This window comes from Homo sapiens, chromosome 6 (assembly GCF_000001405.40).
Source record: "Homo sapiens chromosome 6, GRCh38.p14 Primary Assembly".
NCBI lineage: Eukaryota > Metazoa > Chordata > Mammalia > Primates > Hominidae > Homo > Homo sapiens.
The window spans coordinates 154,266,235-154,285,724 of record NC_000006.12 but is presented as its reverse complement, the minus strand read 5'-3'; the positions used below and the strand labels follow the sequence as shown (position 1 = coordinate 154,285,724).

At 40.6% G+C, this 19,490-nt stretch overlaps 1 protein-coding gene across 7 annotated transcripts in view; it reads left to right on the top strand.

Annotated features, from left to right (window-relative positions):
* The window catches only part of IPCEF1 (interaction protein for cytohesin exchange factors 1), a 202,308-nt gene that overhangs the window by 71,079 nt on the left and 111,739 nt on the right, over positions 1-19,490 (top strand). The window lies entirely within an intron of this gene.

Here is a 19,490-nt window from a genome sequence, read left to right as displayed (position 1 = left end):
AATAGATGACCACATATATTTTCTTCTTGAAGGCTCATAATTTTTGTGCATATGTGTGCAAAATATAACAATGTGAACAAGAATGTGGACAACTAGATTACAAAAAAGGAACTAGCTGAAAGAATACTTATATGGAGATTATTCCTTGAAAACAGAATCTGTTTTTCAGATTATTGAGAGGGCAGGTTAACATTTGAGCTATTGTTTTCCTGGTTAATAATATTTTTGCTTTTTTTAAATTTTAGCTCAAAAATATGGGTATAGCTTTCTAAAAAATAGAATCCAATTTCAAGAATGATGAGGTACTAACTGAAAATCTCTAAATCTTTTGAGATTATTTCCACAATGAATAGGGCATTTCCTCAGAAAATTTTCTGCATTTATTATATGTAGACAGTGAGGAAAAGGGAAAAGAAAAGAACAAGTTTTCTCAGCAAGTGAAAGGTTTCCTGTTGCCATTTTCATTTTCCCTGAGTTTATTATCCTCAGTAGAGATACCAATGTCTTTCCTAATAAAATTACCTTCCAGCCAAATTGTTAAAAAAGGCAACTACCTATCTTGGGTATATGTTAGTTTACACAGAAAAAATTTAAATAGAGCTTGAAGAAATATAGAAAAGACTTTTGTTAATACTTAATGAGGCACAGGAGCTCTTATTAGACTAGACGGTGTTATGCTGAAATTAACTCTCGAGTAACTCTGATTCTCTGATTTCTTTTTTTTTGAGTCGGAGTCTCACTCTATCACCCAGGCTGGAGTGCAGTGGCGTGATCTCGGCTCACTGCAACCTCTGCCTCCTGGGTTCAAGAGATTATTTTGCCTCAGTCTCCCGAGTAGCTGGGACTACAGGTGCACACCACCAAACCTGGCTAATTTTTGTATTTTTAGTAGAGACGGGGTTTCACTATGTTGGCCAGGATGGTCTTGATCTCCTGACCTTGTGGTCCACCCGCCTCGGCCTCCCAAAGTGCTGGAATTATAGGCGTGAGCCACTGTGCCTGGCTATAACTCTGATTTCTTACCCACACTGTATGTTCAGTGCTGGTCGTCAGGAGGGGAGAGATCCTCTACTCCACAAAGTCACTCAGGGATTCAGGCTGATGAAAGCTCCACCATCCTGCAACACCACCATGTCAATAGGTGGCTTCAGAGTTGGTCATGACACAGAAGGAGGGTGTGGGGCACTCATACTCTTCTCCAGACACAAAGTGATGACATCACCTCTGCCCAGTCCCCATTGGTCAGAACAACTCACACGGCCTCTCCTAACTGCATGGGTCTGGGAGGTCTTCCTGGGGGCCGAGGGAGAAGAGGAGAACTAGACATAGAGTACACTAACAATTTCTTGTCTGATGGTATGTGCTGCAAAGTTATCACATCCAGTATCTCTATACAACACCCTTCCTTTCTAAATCAGTCACACTTACAATTCCTTCTGTTCTACCAGGTAATTGAGTTATTTTAATATTTTAAAATTAACTTCACATTTTTTACTTTCTGACTTTAGGTGAGAATAAGTGAAAAAGGATTATGAAGAAGGAATTATATTAATGGTACTTTCTTTTTTCCCCAACAAAATCATTACTTGAAATTAAATGTAACTGCAAATGTGTGAGGATTGATTGCAAAATCAATTCAAGGGATATCAAGCTAGGAATAGGAAACTATACTTGCACAGTTTCAGTAGATTGTATTTTATGTGTACATCTTTTTTTAATTATATGCTCATCTTTCCCTGAATCTTAATCTCATGTTCTTTTCCTTCTTCTATCTCATGTTTTTCTTTTTAAATGTCTTTGTCAGTTTATTATTTTACCAAGCAATGTTTTCACGTAGGGCACATAAGGAATAAACAAACATGTCTAAAATGTGTTTATTTTGCACTCACACTTGATTGTATGTTTGGTTGGATACAGAACTTTATGTACAAATTTATTTTCACTCAGAACTTCAAAGATATTGCCCCCATGTCCTTCAGCAGCTCAACTTGCATGAGAAATCTAACAATGTTCTTGTTTCTTTAGAGAAACTTTTAGAATTCTCTGTATACTTTGAAATTCTGAAATTTCACAAGACATATTCAAATGTACATCTTTTTAAAAATTTATTTAATTTTAATTTTTTTTGAGATGGAGTCTCACTCTGTCACCCAGGCTGGAGTGCAGTGGCGCGATCTCAGCTCACTGCAAGCTCCACCTCCCAGGTTCACACCATTCTCCCGCCTCAGCCTCTTGAGTAGCTGGGACTACAGGGGCCCACCACCGCACCTGGCTAATTTTTTGTATTTTTTTTGTAGAGATGGGGTTTCACCATGTTAGCCAGGATGGTCATGATCTCCTGACCTTGTGATCTACCCGCCTCGGCCTCCCAAAGTACTGGGATTACAGGTGTGAGGCACTGTGCCCGGCCCTCTTTTTTTTTTTTTTTTTTTTGAGATGGAGTTTCACTCTTGTGCCCCAGGCTGGAGTGCAGTGCGTGATCTCGGCTCACTGCAACCTCCACCTCCCAGGTTCAAGCGATTCTCCTGCCTCAGCCTCCTGAGTAGGATTATAGGCCTGCGCCACCATGCCTGGCTAATTTTTTTGTAGTTTTAGTAGAGATGGGGTTTCACCATGTTGACCAGGCTGGTCTTGAACTCCTGACCTCAGGTGATCCGCCCACCTCGGCCTCCCAAAGTGCTGGGATTACAGGAATGAGGTTCCTGCCCTGCCCTCAAATATACATCTTTGAAAATTTGTGGGATTGAGTATTTTGTAGCATAGATTTCTTTTTCCACTCTCTCCTTGGGCTCTGCTTCCTGCTGTTTTGGCTTCATTTTCAATCTCTTTTCTCCACCATTTCACCAAGGTGACCACTGCTAACTCCAGGTTTGCAGAGCGTTCATGGCTGACACCCCAGAAAAAAGGGACAAATCTCTTTCCCAATATTTCAGACAGAATTTCCTGATTATCTTGACTTGGTACATGTACTATTTTCTGGATTGGTCATTGTGACAAAGAGGAGTAAGTACTTTGATCCAGCTAGTTCTTTTTTTTTTGAGACGGAGTCTCGCTCTTTTGCCCAGGCCAGACTGCAGTGGTGCTATCTCGGCTCACTGCAAGCTCTGCCTCCCGGGTTTATGCCATTCTCCTGCCTCAGCCTCCCAAGTAGCTGGGACTACAGGTGCCCGCCACCGTGCCCGCCTAATTTTTTTGTGTGTGTTTTTAGTAGAGATAGGGTTTCACCGTGTTAGCCAGGATGGTCTCGATCTCCTGACCTCGTGATCCGCCCACCTTGGCCTCCCAAAGTGCTGGGATTACAGGCGTGAGCCACCGCGCCCTGCCTGATCCATCTACTTCTTACCACTTCTATCGCTACCACTCTGGTCCCGCGAAAGAGATGACATTGTAATCTCTTCCCTGGATCGTTCCAGTAGCCTCTTAACTGGTTTCTTGGTTTATGTCTTTTCTCTGTTTCAGTCTGTTGTCAGTGCTGGAGCCAGAGCTGTTAATGTGTTTGTCAGATCAGAACCCTGCAAAACCATTTATTTTATTTATTTATTTATTTTTTAATTTTGAGACAGAGTCTTGCTCTGTCACCCAGGCTGGAGTGCAGTGGTGCAATCTCGGCTCATTGCCACCTCCGCTTCCCAGGTTCAAGCTATTCTCCTGCCTCAGCCTCCCGAGTAGCTGGGATTACAGACATGTGCCATCATGCCAGGATATTTTGTTGTTGTTGTTGAGATGGAGTTTCACTCTTGTTGCCCAGGCTGGAGTGCAATGGTGCCATCTTGGCTCATTGCAACCTCTACCTTCTGGGTTCAGGTTATTCTCCTGTCTCAGCCTCCCACGTAGCTGGGATTACAGGTGTGTGCCACCACATCTGGCTAATTCTTTGTATTTTTAGTAGAGACGTGGTTTCACCATGTTGGCCAGGCTGGTCTCGAACTCCTAACCTCAGGTGATCCACCCACCTCAGCCTCCCAAAGTGCTGAGATTACAGGCGTGAGCCACAGTGCCCGGCCTCCAGGCTAATTTTTATATTTTCAGTAGAGACGGGGTTTCACCATGCTGACCAGGCTGATCTCGTACCCTGGCCTCAAGTTATCACCTGGCTCATCCTCCCAAAGTGCTGGGATTACAGGCGTGAGTCACCATGCCTGGCCAGGCTTGCCCATTTCACTTCAAGGAAAACTAAAATCTTCAACAAGAGTTTATTTATTTATTTAGAGACAAGCTTTCACATTGTTATCCAGGCTAGAGTGCAGTATGGCTCACTGCAACCTCAAACTCCTGGGCTCAAGTGATCCTCCATCTCAACCTCCTAAGTAGCTAGGATTATAGGCATGCACCACCACACAAGGCTACTTTAAAAAAAATTTTTTTTTTTTTCGAGATGAGGTCTTGCTCTGTTACCCAGGCTGGAGTGTAGTGGCGCTATCTCGCCTCACTGCAACCTCCACCTCCCGGGTTCAGGCAATTCTCTTGCCTCAGCCTCCCAAGTAGCTGGGATTACAGACATACACCACCATGCCTGGCTTTTTTTTTTTTTTTTTTTTTTGTATTTTAGTAGGAACGGGGTTTCACCATCTTGCCCAGGCTGGTCTTGAACTCCTGACCTCAAGTAATCCACCCACCTCGGCCTCCCAAAGTGCTGGGATTGCAGGCATGAGCCACTGCGACTGGCCTTAATTTTTAAATTTTTTTGTTGAGATGGGGATTCTCAGTATGTTGCTCAAGCTGGTCTCAAACTCCTGGCCTCAAACAATCATTCCGCTCTGGCCTCCCAAAGTGTTGGGATTACAGGTATAAGCCATAGCATCTGGCCTAGTTCTCACTTTTCAAAATGACTTTTAGTTTGAAATATAACATACATGCAGTGGAAAACATGAAAAAAATGGAATAGCTAGATGATTTATCATAAAGTGTAAATTCTTGCAACTGCCACTTCAGTCAAGAAATAGAATACCATCGGGATCCCGAATCCCCTCTTGTACCCATTCCAATAAATAATTCCTGATTCCTCCTCAAAGGTTTCCACTCTCCTGCCATTTGTGGTCATTGTGGTTGCATTTTGTGATAATTTTATGACCCAAGTACACTTCCCTAAACACTATGATCTAGCTTTGGCTGCTCTATTATTTTATATAAATGGAATCATATTGTTTATATTCTTTTGTGTCTAGCTTCTTTCTCTCAATGTTATTTCACTGTGGATAGAAGTAGTCTTTTTCTTTTTGATTGCTATGTAGTTCATTGTAATGACTGTACCACAATTTATTTATTCATTTTCCCATTGATGGACATTTTTTTTTAACAATTTTTTAAATGATTTACCTCTTTGTAGAGATAGAGTTTCACTTTGTTGCCCAGGCTGGTCTTGAACTCCTGGCCTCCAGTGATCCTCCCATGTTGGCCTCTCAAAGCACTGGGATTATAGGCATGAGATACCATGCCCAGCCCTGTTTTTTGTTCTGGTTGTTATTAATGAACTGGATAGAACCATTGTTACGCATTTTCAGCATACATTTGCACACATATCTGAGGCATGTACATCTTAGAGTAAAGGTTGTGGGCATAGACTATGCATGTAATTAACCTTAGCAGGTGTTGCCAAACACTTTTCCAAAATAATTTTCCACTGGCAATATTTTGAGTTTTCACTGGTTCTACAATCTTGCCAACGCTTGGCATTGTCAGTCTTCTAAAATTACACTGTTTTGGTGGCTGTTTAATTATGTTTCATTGCTGTTCTGCCTTGCATTTCCCTGATTGTTAATGAGGATTAACATTAACATTAACATTAACATTTCCTGATTGTTAATGATTGGTGTCTCTCCTATGTATATTGGCTAATTGATGTTCCTTCTTTGTCAAAGGCCTAGTAAGTCTTTTCTCATTTTTGTCTTAGGTTTTCTGCCTGTTCCTTACTGATTCATGGGAGTTCTTTATAGATTCTGGATGCATGGCCTCATGCATGTTATATGTATGGCACATACCTCTTCTCATTCATTTGCTTGTTTTCTCAGTCCCTAAGGTTGTCTTTTGATGAATGGGAATTCTTAATTCTAATGTGTTTCAACTTACAGCTTTTCCTTTATGGTTAGAACCAGTGGGGGAAATGACAGTATTTTCAATAGATGATACTGAGGTAATTGGCCATTAATTTAAAAGATGAAACTTGACCCCTATTTGAAACCATAATAGAAAATCAATTGCAAGTAAATTGTAGATCTAATAAGGAAGACAAGACAATAAAATTCGTAGAAGGAAAAGTAGGACGATATCCTTATGACCACAGAATAATGAAGATAACGAATGGCAAAGGAAAAGCACTAGCCAGAGTCATCTTCACAATATTGAGTCTTCCAATGAATGAACACACGACATCTTTCCATTTATTTATACCCTTTTTAAGTTTCTTTCAAAAATTGATTTCTTCATTGAAGTCTTATACATTTTTATTAGATTCATTCTAACATATTTGAATTTTTATGATATTGCTATCTTCTTAGAAATTTTACTTTCAAACTGTTGGTGGCTGGTAGAAATGTTGTTGATTTTAATATATTGGCTTTGTAGCTAGCAACCTTCTTATGCCCACTTTTTTTTTTTTTTATTTTGAGACAGGGTCTGGCTCTGTCTATGATTTTTTTGCGGTGGCACGATCTCAACTCAGTGCAACCTCTATCCCCCAGGTTCAAGGGATCCTCTCACCCCAGCCTCCCAAGTAGCTGGGACCACAGGTGCACACCACCATGACCAGCTTTTTTTTTTTTTTTTTTGTATTTTTGGTAGAGACAGGGTTTCACCATGTTGCCCAGGCTGGTCTCAAACTCCTGAGCTCCAGCAATCCACCACCATAGCCTCCCAAAGTGCTGGGATTACAGGCATAAGCCACCACGCCTGGCCCACTTTTTAATTGTAATTATTAATGTGTAGATTCTTTCTGCATGTAAAACTATATCATTTGAAAATACTGACAATCTTGATTTTTTACCTTTTAATCATATATATATATATTTTTACCATTGTTTTCCAGTACTTTTGAGACAATGTTGTTAAGTGATAATGAGAATCTTTGGCTTATTCCTAATATCAAAGGAAAAGGTTTCAACATGTCACCATCAAGCATGTGATGTAGGAATAAGGACCTTCTTACTTATTGAAAACAGTGGAGTAAGGACCTTTTTGTTTTGACCATGACAGGAATTTGGAGAGGGGTTGACTTGGCTTGGCAGTTCATCTTTGACCCATGTGACTTTAGCTGGGGTGGCTAGGATCGGAGGATCTCTACTTTCAAGATCACTTTTGCATCCATACGTCTGGAGCCTTGGCGTCTCTTGGATTCCCATTCTCTACTTGGCGTCTCATTCTCCCGGACCTGTCCACAGGGCTCAGCTCTTTGTAGCACAGCAGTGTCAGGAGACCTGGACCTGGTGAATGTCAGTCTGGCTTCTGCTAGAGCACATGTTCCTCTTTCAGATGTAAAATCCCATGAAGTGGTGCCTGTGAGGTCATAGAAATTGCAATTAAACATATCTGTTAAATTAAAAATCAATTTCCAATCTAAACTTTTTTTCTATGCAGGAGTTTAAAAATAATAATTTCAACGTTTGTCATAGCTGAATTTTAGTACTATGGAGTAAAGAAAAAAATAGGTGATTCCTTCTATTTTGTGATAACAAAGTTTTCCTTTTGAGGTTAAATGAAGGTATCTAGGGCAGGAGGGAGAGAGGAAGGTGCACGTGTGCATGGAAGATGAGGAGGTGGGTGCGGTACCCAGTGTAGGTGAGGTACGAGTGGGAAAGTGAGCATGTAAAGATGAGAGTGGGTGGACCACAGGAAGCTGGGCGGACCACAGGAAGCTGGCTGGAAAAAAAAAGTCTGGCTTTACCTAGTTAAAAGCAAGAAAAAAGCAACCCAAAGACAAGCGGAAAATCTCACAGGCAAAGTCTATAAAGGAATGGAAACAAAAAAATAAGCCCACATGTGTTCAGGGAAAGGTGAAGTAAAGTGGCTGGCCAGCTGCAGTCTGCTCTGTAATTTTTGTATTACTTCGCAGTAATTTATACGTAAGATAGTCTAATGAACAACAACAACAACCAATAAAAGAGCCAATGCTTCCTGGAAAAACAAATAGAACATTTTCTTTTTGAAAACTTAGATTTCTGAGTTTATGATTCTAGTGGTTTAAAAAAATGCGCTATTGAAATTGAAAGAATGTCAAATTAGGGAGTTGGACGATTTAATCTTTGGTCTTAAGCTAAATATTGTACTTAGGTGTTCTTCCACTAGGTGTCTCTTTGCATACATGTTATGATTTCAGAGAAAGCAAATCTATTCTTGACGGCATTCGCTTATGTGGATTGTGTCAACAAATATCTCAATTTGGGATGGGGGGTATTTAAGAATGACTTTAATTTAACAGTTCTTCCTAAAGAATAAATAGGTGTGTTTTAGTGACATCTCTCGTTCTTGCTTTAGATGTTTTGGAGACACTAACCCAGATTTTTCAGCAGATGCAAAATTGAGGTCCTTGTGCCTGTGTGGTTTCCAGCATGATATGGTTTAAGCCTTCAATTCATAGCCTGCCCATGTGGGATTCTGACCAGGACGTGAGCCCTTCATAGTTTCTGAATGAAGCCTCACCTAGGATGCGCAATTCCCAAACAAGCTGCATGCAGCTCGTCAGTGTCTCTTTCTGAGAGCTGTATTGCCTGCTGATCAGACCCTTCCAGACCACACAGTGGCAGCTGATCTATGATCCCACGAGTAGCCCTTTGGCAGCCACGTTATCACTGCTAGTCACCGAAGGTCCCTCTGAATTGTCTAAATTTGGTAAATAGCTTACTCATTCTAACTTGTCCTAAAGTTGAGGCAGGGCCAATATAAGTCAACAGATATTTGTTAGGTGCCTACTGCATGTCTTGCCCTGAGTGTCTGTAAGAATTATTAGACTCATTCATTCTCTAAGAATGTAATGAGATCTACTGTTTGCAAAAAGAAAATAAAAGCCTGCTTCTAAGGAGAATTTGAAAAGGCAAAGATTATTCTGAGACAGCACTGCTGATGACCATAGGGCCCTGGACCTGGAGTCTGAAAATCTGAATTCAAATTTGGCTTTAACTTGCTAGCTATGTAAACTAGTTAGTCCACCCACTCTGTATATTCGTTTTTTCACGTGTTAAAGTATAAGTTACTTTACAACCTTGCTGTGAAGACTGAAAACAGTTTGCAACAGTTCTGCCAAATATCATTATAAGAGCCTCCAAGAGAAGTCACTCTATTCTGGGCAAAGCAGCCCTCACCATGATTATATACAGTAGTTTATCTCCTTATGGTCTCTCTTGTCTGATAACCCTTGGGCACGACCTTTGCAAAATTACAAGGCCCCTAAAATGATCTTTTATTTCCTCCTTCCCTCCCTCCTTCCCTTCCTCTTTTCTTTTCTTTTTTTTTCTTTTCTTTTTTCTCTTTCTTCCTCCCTCCCTCCCACCTTTTCTCTTTCTTTCTTTCCTTTTCTCTCTCTCTCTCTTTTTCTCTTTCTTTCTTTTCTTCTGAGATGGAATCTCTCTCTGTTGCCCAGGCTGGAGTGCAGTGGCACAATCTCGGCTCACTGCAACCTCCACCTCCCAGGTTCAAGCGATTCTCCTGCTTCAGCCTCCCGGGTAGCTGGGATTACAGGCACCTGCCACCATGGCCAGCTAAATTTTTTTGGTATTTTTAGTAGAGATGGAATTTCACCATGTTGGTCAGGCTGGTTTCGAACTCCTGACCTCAAGTGATCCACCCGCCTCGGCCTCCCAAAGTGCTAGGATTACAGGCGTGAGTCACTGTGCCCGGCCCCTAAAATGATATTTCTTAAGGAAAAATCTAGCCAGACAAAAGGGGTTTTGGCTCCAACTCTAGAGCAATGGGTGCAAGCGGCTGACAGCTTTTATAATCATTTTTTTTTTCTTGGCTGCCTTCTAGCCAGTGAATGTCCAGTTGCAGAGTCCTCTGCTGTATGGGGTATAGCTGCTCACTTTGGTGTAAAGGGCACTGAATGGAATAATGTTTGGCAAAGCAGAAATAAAGTGACTGGCTGCCTCAGAGCCATGTACACTGTCTGAATTTCACCAAGTAGAAAAACATTTCATCTTCTGCAGACAGAAAATGTAATTATTATTCATGTGGAGAAATGGAGAGATGCAAATTTCAGAAAAGTAAGGGCCATCGCTTGCTATTCCTATCTGGCTCATTCTAGAGCACTGTATCAGCTCTTGCCCCACCGGCTGGAGTGAAGCAAACTAGGAATTGCGGATGTTATTCGGGGGATACCCTAGTAGGGACCTGGAAGGAACCAAGCTGTGCTCATGGAACAGACTGTAGTAGATTGCAGTGGGCCTCATAATTGATACCTTGTCTAGGAGCTACCAATGTTTCCTGTGTCCTCATTAGGGAGCTGGTGCCCTTTGTCTCATATGATGTAGCAGCTTGAGGACAGTACAAACTTTTGAGGTGGCTCCTGGAGTTTCAGTCACAATCCCTTAGAATCACGCTTCAGCATACGGCTAGCTTGGATCTTAGAGTAACTGGCTCCTAGAAGTTCCTTGGATCTGGAGCTGGCGTAGGAGAGGCAGGTGTGATGGTGTGTTTTATCTGCATTGGTAAAACTGAACAAGAGCTGCCACTAGGGTGTGTGTGTTTATGTGTCTTTGAGGGGTAGGTGAAAATATGCATTGTAGGACCCCTGCCTATATAAATAATTGGAATCATTGAACATCCATCCCTGTTTTGGAGAACCAGTGACAACAACTACTCTCCAGGCAGGTGTCATGGAACTTAAGACAACCGCAGAACAAACCCAACTCTGTAGAAACAAGTCCCAGTGCTTTTCAGGGCATCTGGTCTACCCCATGTTCTGGGGAAGGGAACCTTGATTGGGCGCAACCAACACAGGGTGCATGTGGGCCAGGGCTGGGCTCTGGGTGCTCTGAGGAGGATTGGCCAGGGTGTGGCCCACGGCTGGTCTCTGCTTGCCCCAGTCTAATGGCCCCTGCAGGTATAGACCACATTTTAGAAGTTTCAGGTTCAGGAGTCCCACAGAAGGACAAGAGACCCCTGTAGTTCAGCAACTCAGGGGAGCTTTGTACCTCCAAGAGGGGCATGGCCAATAGCCATTGGCATTTGGTAGGCCCTTCCAGGATGTGAAAGAGGCAAATCGTTTGAGATCTCTTGCAGTTTTCCACCTGTTTGTTACTATGGTAAAATGGTCCACTGGGAGGAAAGATTGACATTATTGGCTGAAAGAAAGTCTTTTATCTCCCTTAGCTTTGTGGATTTTGTGTGTCTGAGCCTTGATTGTCAGGGCTGACAGCTTATGTGGGAATTTCTGAAGGGAAAGCAGGGAAGAGGCCTGCCAGTCTCCACAGATGATGGATTGCAGTATTTTTATGGTGTCAAAAATAAAGTAATTTTAAGCATCATAGTTTCTCTGTTTGAAAAAAGCTGTGGTTCTTAAAACCATCTGTCAATTCATCATCAAAGTGGAGAGAAGGCAGGAAAGAAATGCAACGAAATGAGTGGAAAAGACAACAATAAAAAAGGGAAGATAACCGAAAGAGAAAGAATGAGAATATTCTATAGCAAGTAGAAAATGGATTGGAATCAGAATGACACTTTGAGCTTAAGTTAAAAAAAAAAAAAGCAGCCAGGCACGGTGGCTCATGCCTGTAATCCCAGAACTTTGGGAGGCTGAGGCGGGTGGATGATGAGGTCAGGAAATCGAGACCATCCTGGCTAACAAGGTGAAACCCCGTCTCTACTAAAAATACAAAAAATTAGCCGGGTGTGGTGGCGGGCGCCTGCAGTCCCAGCTACTCTGGAGGCTGAGGCAGGAGAATGCCGTGAACCCGGGAGGCGGAGCTTGCAGCGAGCCGAGATGGCGCCACTGCACTCCAGCCTGGGCGACAGAGGGAGACTCTGCCTCAAAAAAAAAAAAAAAAAAAAAAAAAAAAAAAAAAAAAAAAAAAAAAAGAAAGAAAGAAAGAAAGAAAAAAAGAAAAAAGCTTAAAATAATTTGGATGAAGCTACTTTCTCCTTCATAAAGTTCCTGAACAAAGTCACAACCCCAAACCTCCCCTGCCGCATATGTCACTGTACACAGACTGGTAGGGAAGTCATCTTGCATTTGCTTCCTTCTCTCCTGCTTTGCCTTGACAGGTGAAATCTCCTACTAATTGGCAAAACGAATGGATTATCTCATGTCCTTTGCTTTTATATGTGAGCGAAGATGAATGTTCTCTTCTGTTTTCCATGGCATTGCTGTGATGGACTATCATGTAACAGAACATGCTCGCTTATAAACAGTGCTTGTCTCCAGTAGAGTGTGGACGTTTGCTGCCACATGGATTACCTACTTGTCGACGATCAAGACTTCTGCCACGAGGATAACAAGCATTTTTTTGTTTCCTCTTAGCTCTGACTTCTGGCTTAAGAATAACGCACATTGTTTGCCTGTGTTTGTGGACTTTGTATAAATCCACTTGCTGCTGTGATAATGTCTTGCTGAATGCCAGCATTATAATTTTAAAGGATAAATTAATCTGTGGGTTTTAAACGTTTTAGTTCAGACCTGTTTTGTTTTCACTTAAGGCTCTGTGAGAAAGAGAATCAACCTAGCTCCTATGTTATTTCAACTGGAAAATCGTCTCTAAATCACAATAAATTATCTTTGTTTTAAAAATGTGTAAAACATTAGGCATGGTACTTATTTTGCTCCATCATTCCAAAGATGATAATGTCTATTAGGGAATAACCAGGACAGTTACCTTTGCATCAGTTGAATGAATAAATCCCCTTAGTGGAATTTTTTTCTTGATTCTTAAAAAAAATACTGATTATGCTAGCCTTCTTTATAAATAGTGTGTTTGTTGGGGATTGATATTCTTGGTTCATTTTCTGGGTTTAAAATAGTATAGGATGAGAGTCCATATTTCTATCTTAAATAACTTTCTAAACAATTTCTAAAATGGCTAAAACACACTTGGTTTAAGAAGCATGCAATTTGTGATTAAAACAAAATGGAATGATTCTTTATTAATATATGTGAAGGAAAATCTCTTCTTTGAAATTGACTTTATTACTCATTTGCTAACAAAACATATTTTCTAGTTTTCAGTTACAGAGTTGATCAGGAATGCATTTTATTTCATTTAACAAACTTAAACAATTAGTGATTTCATTGGTTTGGCTATGTTTCATGTTGTAGTTTGTTAAGAAATTGTTCTTTAAAGAAGATAACTGTTTTAAATATGACTGAGATAACTATTCCCTTAAACTCTGAAACAAGGCACCAAAAATGTCATTGGTTAGTTGGCTAGGGAGTTTAACCAACCTTGAAGTGTGAAAGCTATTTTATTTGATGAAACCTGTTATCACACTTGTTCAATCCCTTTAGTTGTATACTAATTCCATTAGGAAGGATAGTTTTGTATAATGAAGCTATTTCTAGGTAATAGCTCCCATTCTAGGTAATTGCTACCACTTACTAAGCATGCACACTTGTGCCCTGTGTGCTTCCCATATGATATCTCGTTTAATTCTCACAAACACCTTATGAGTTGGTTATTATTATTCAAAGAGGAGGCATTTGCTAGTCAGAGCATTAAGCAGTTTCCATAAGTTTTCTCATTTAACAAGTGGCAGAGTTGGGATTTGAACTTAAACCTACTTGACTGTAATCTACATACTTTAGTGGAGTGGTTTTCTTTTAGAGACAGAGTCTCACTCTGTTGTTCAGGATGGAGTGCAATAGCACAATCAAAGCTCATTGCAGACTTGAACTCCTGGGCTCAAGCAATCCTCCCACCTTAGCCTCCTGAGTAGCTGGGGCTACAGGTGCACATCACCATACCCTGCTAATTTTTATTTTATTTTTGTAAAAATGAGGGTTTTGCTATGTTGCCCAGGCTGGTCTCATACTCCTGGTCTCAAGTGATCCTTCCATCTTGGTCTTCCAAACTGCTGGGATTACAGATGTGAGCCATTGAACCCGGCCTAGTTTTAAGCATATATTTTTGGTTGTGTACCCATAAAAGAACTTAGGAGCCTCATGTACCCCCTTATACTTCAAATTGTCACCTAAAGTTTTTGTCATACATGTAGTTGAAAAGATGTGGTTTCTGGCATATTGTAAACATTGATGGTAAAAAAGGTTATACTTCTGTATAAAAGTAATCTATATAATATAGATATCATAAAGAGTTGGTATGTCCTGTAATTTTTTTTAAAAGTAAACTTTAGGACTTGCACATTTTACATTGTTTTCTTTTCTCCTGAAACTCATATTTTCATTCCACTATCATATGGATTTTTATCCTATTATATGATTTTTTTTTTCTTTAAGAGACAGGATCCCACTCTGTCATCCAGGCTGGAGTGCAGTGGCACTATCATACCAACCTTGACCTCCTGGGTGGGAGAGATACTCCTGCCTCAATCTCCCAACTACATATGCCTGCCATCATACAGGGCTGATTTTTCTTATTTATTTATTTTTTTTTTGTAGAGATGGGGTCTTGCTATGTTGCCCAGACTGCTCTTGAACTCCTGACCTCAAGTGATCCTCCTACCTCAGCATCCCAAAGTGCTGGGATTACAGGTGTGAGCCACTGTGCCAAGTCCTATTACATATTTTTATGCCTGAAAATATTTTATTGATAATTCTATCATACATTTAAGCTAAAAGAAGAGTTTTTTTGGTTTGTTTGTTTGTTTGTCTTTTGGAACAAAGTCTGGCTGTGTCACCTAGGCTGGAGTGCAGTGGCACAATTTCGGCTCACTGCAACCTCAGCCTCCTGGGCTCAAGCCATCCTCCCACCTCAGCCTCCCTAGTAGCTGGGACCACAAGTGTGCACCACCGCACCTGGCTAATTTTTGTATTTTTGGCAGAGATGGGATTTCACTATGTTGGCCAGGCTGGTCTTGAACTCGTGATCTCAAGCTATTTGCCCACCTTGGCCTCCCAAAGTGCTGGGATTAGAGGCGTGAGCCACCGTACCTGGCCAAGAATACATATTTAAATTGAAATTAATTTAAAAAATTTTTGGTGACAAAATTATTTAAGCCAAAAAATTTTATTCAGAGTTATTATTACAATTATTATTGGTACATAATTTAACAAGCATTAATATGATATACTACACATTTTGACTGATAGTGATTGAATAAAACAGATAAATATTTTTATTGAATATGCAGTACTTAGATAGATGAGACATTACCCCCAATTATGCAACATACACATGAATGAACATTATTTATTACTACAATGACAGAGTTGAGAACTAATTCTAATCCTATTATTGGTTTTTATGTATGTAAGCACTTAGAAATATTTTTCACGTAAGTAAATATGTAGGAATTGAGCACTTTTTGAACTCCTTCCAAGGATATGCCAAATATCTCATGATGATTTATCACAACAGTTACTTTCATAATCCATAGACAATTCAAATAGGTTTTTCCTTAATTTTGTTGAAAGCAAAGAACTGGAAACCTCTTGATATACAAAAGTGTTTTGTTACCCTGTCGTTAGGGTCTTATCTATTTTTAAATTTGTGGTAATTCAAAAATTCATTCTCATGATATATCAAATAGTCATTATTTCTTCCTTCAATTCTTATGTATAGGCACTTTGCTTAAACTGATATTCTCAGAAAGGACTGTGAATACTGAAAAGTTATCACTTTCAAAACACCTTTGCCAGGATTATTTTTCTCACAAGCTGCTTTTATTGTGTACTTTATATGTATATATTTTCATCAAAACCTTGGAGCTACCTATTTAGCTTATCAACATATGGACACCATGTGTTTCTGGTTAACCTGGTTAGCTGAACCAGTTCTCATTGTCCAAACAATCAAAAGTACGTACATGAGTCTCCATAGCCCTCATTTCTTTTCCTAATTCTTCTTTATTATGGCCATGGGCTTTGACTGGAAGAGGAGAAACAAGAGTTGAGCTTAGCTTATTTTGGTGGTTCTTCTGCCCAAAATTATTTTTGAATCATTTTAGTGGAATTTAGATTTCATATGTTTCAACTACTTCAAGAAACAAAGTACTGGCCAGGCATGGTTGCTCACTCATGTAATCGCAATGCTTTAGGATGCCGAGGCAAGAAGATTGTTTAAAACCAGGAGTTTGAGACCAGCCTGGGCTACAAAGCAAGACCCTGTCTCTATTTTTTTAAATTTAAAATTAAAAAAAGAAAGGAAAAGAAAAGAAAAAAAAGAAACAAAGTACTGAAACTCCAAGATTATTAATGAAACACTCATACACAAACTCCACAAAGGTACATCAATCCCTAGCTGTCTCCCATCCCACCTCCACCACCCATGCCAGTGACTGCGTATTATTTCTACCCTTTTGCTCTTTGACCGAAGGAGGTATGATATCAACATCATCTCATTTCCATATCCTGCAGATTGGGAAGGAGCTTTCTAATGGGATATTCATGATGCCAATATTTTACAAAACAAAAATTTGGAATCTATAGATTTCCTTTATGGAAACTCATCTATAGTGAGTGGTTTTATTGCTTGTATATTTAATTCATTTACTCAACAAATATATATTGAACCACCCTGCCTACAGAGACTGAGGACACAGCAGCAAATAAGTGACCAAGGCCAGACACAGTGGCTGCCTTCAGTTAGGTTATATTATAATGGAGAGTCAGATGTTAAAGGACCAATTGCAAAATTAATCATTCACTACAATGATGAAAACTTCTATGAATAAAAAATAAGGTGATGTGAGAGGCTATAAAAGGGGATCGATCTCTCCCAAGGATCAGGGAAGGTTTTCTTGATGGAGTGACCTTCTGTCAGAGAGTTGAAAAATTAGATGGTATAAGCCATCCTAGGTGGTGACTGTTGAGAAAAAGCATGCACCAAGGCTCTGAAATGGAAATAAATGTGTTTGAGGACTTAAAAAAAAAAAAAGACAATGAGTAAGGGAGATAGAAACAGATACGGAAACAACCCAAGGAAGGGCCGGAGATGAGGTCGTGGTCAGATGGTGCAAAGCCTCACTTGTAGGAAGTTTTCACAATTTTGATCTTTATTTAAAGACCAATGACCATTGTAGGGATATAAGGACAGAGGTGAATAGTCAGATGTGCATTGAAAAAAATCACTGGGCCAGAGAGAAACTGGGACATCAGTTAGGATGTTCTTGCAGTGGTCCAAGAGGGAGGTGCTGATGGCTTGGACTAGGATGATGGCAATGGGTGTGGACAGAGAGGACTTTAAGGGATAGTTAGGAATTAAGCAGGTAAAATGGATACAAAAGAAAGATTCTGAGTTGAGATGGAGCTCCCTGGGTGCTGCTGCAGCTACCCAAACCACAGCTGAGCAGGCTGTAGCTGCAGACCCACACCTCCCACTCCAAAGAGCAGACAGGACCTACCCCACCCCCAGACTCAGGCATCACTGCACTCTTGGGGGCCTGGGAAGGCCCCTGCTGTCCTTGCAGGCTCAGGAGTGCCTGCTTCTGCTGCCTGGCTTCTCCCTGCTGTCAGTGCCTGCTCTGATGGGAGCAAAGTCCCCACAAGCCCAGGCACCATGAACGGCAGCAGGAGGCAGACAGATGCCAGGGCGGAAGGGGGCAGGTCCCTGGTGAGACCCCACCTTCAGGCCAGGGAGGGCCTGAAGACTGGGGACCAGGCTGCCAGTCCCACCAACTGGAGTGGGAACTTGTGGTGCCTTTCTGGGCCCTCCCATGGCCACCCATGGACCAATCTGTGTGCATTTCCTCACCTCTGAGGCCATAAAAGCCCCAAGATCAGCCAGAGCTGAACAGACATCCTGACAACCAGCTGCAGGGAGGAGCTGCCCTCTCTGCTGAGAGCTTCAGGACCTGCAGAGACATTGGGACTACCACCTGCAAGGAGGAGCAACCCATTCCAGGGCCTCCTCTCTGCCAAGAGCTGCTGCAGACTTCTGGCTAACCTGCCTGCAGAGAGGAGCTGCCCTCTCCAGGGCCTCCTCTCTGTTGAAAGCTGAACACTCCATGGGACGACCTGCCTATGGAGAGGAATTACCCACTATGGGTCTTCTCTGAGCTGTTCTAACACTCAATAAAGCTCCTCTTCATCTTGCTCCCCTCTACTTCTCTGTGTACCTCGTTATTCCCAGATGCAGGACAAGAACTTGGGCAAAGGTGCCACCAGCCACAGAGGTTTCTGGCCAGAAGAGCGACAACCCAAAGATCCTGTAACATTTTGATATCCCAATATGTGAGAATATTCTTTTCAACACACCTCCACCTCCACCCAAATTGACTTCCATCACTTAATTTTTTTCCAATCCTGAAGAATAAAAATGGAATCATGGTATTTTATTTTGCATTTATTTTATTACTAATGAGATTAAGCATTAGTTATTTGTATTTTATTTTTTCAATTTTCCTTTATTTGTTCTTCTATTAGTTTGCTTATTATCTTCTTTGTGACATGTAAGAACTCTATTTTATGGTTCTTATGTATTAAATGTATATTTCAGATATTTTTATCAGCTTGAGACTTGATTTTTTAAATTTAGGTTTTAATTTTTTTTTAAGAAATAAGTTAAAATTAAGTAAATTTATCAGTCCTTTTATTGTGGTTTATCTCTTTCACATTTTACCAATAAATGTCTTATTAATATCTATGTAATATAGCATTTTTAATATGAAAAAGGAGTTTCCATTACTCAGAATTTGGGGACCTCCACTGGTGTAAGAAACAAACAGGTCATGAATGTGTACTTGTGGTGTCACTGGGATGAAGTTGAAAAGCTGTCTGCTTTGGGGAGAGTTTCAGTGGCTTGTGGATCTTTAACAAGTTTCTTGCTTGTCAATGTTGAAAACATGAGGATTTTTTTCCTTTTGTTTTCATTTGCTTTTCTTGAAACCACAGAATATCTTGTTTTTCAGGCAACCCACTACAAAGTGCAAACATCAAAAGGAGCCTATCTTGCTATTAAAGTTTGGGACTTCAGAGGCAGGGGAGTTAGCTATGTTTTCAAAGTTGGATAATAGTGATGGGCCACATTTTCACATCTTAGTTGCATTGTTTATCATAAAGAGGAAAACATTTCCACTTCTCAAAATGTGTGTGTGTGTTTGTGTGTATATATATATATATATATATATATAGTAATATTAAGTGTGTAAATCATATACATGTCTTGCTGAGTACTTGAAAAGAATATTGACAAATGTATAAATGAAATTCTGGCTTATCTTATGAACTCAACTTTAAACAGTTGGCTTATTGAGTTCTGAAATAAAAAGCTATTTATTTATTTATTCATTAAAAAAAATTTTTTTAAGAGACAGGATCTTGTTCTGTCACTTAGGCTGGAGTGCAGTGGTGCCATTATAGCTCACTGTAACCTTGAACTCCTGGGCTCAAGCAATCCTCCCACCTCAGCCTCCTGAGCAGCTGGGATTACAGGTGTGTGCCACTACAACTGGCTATG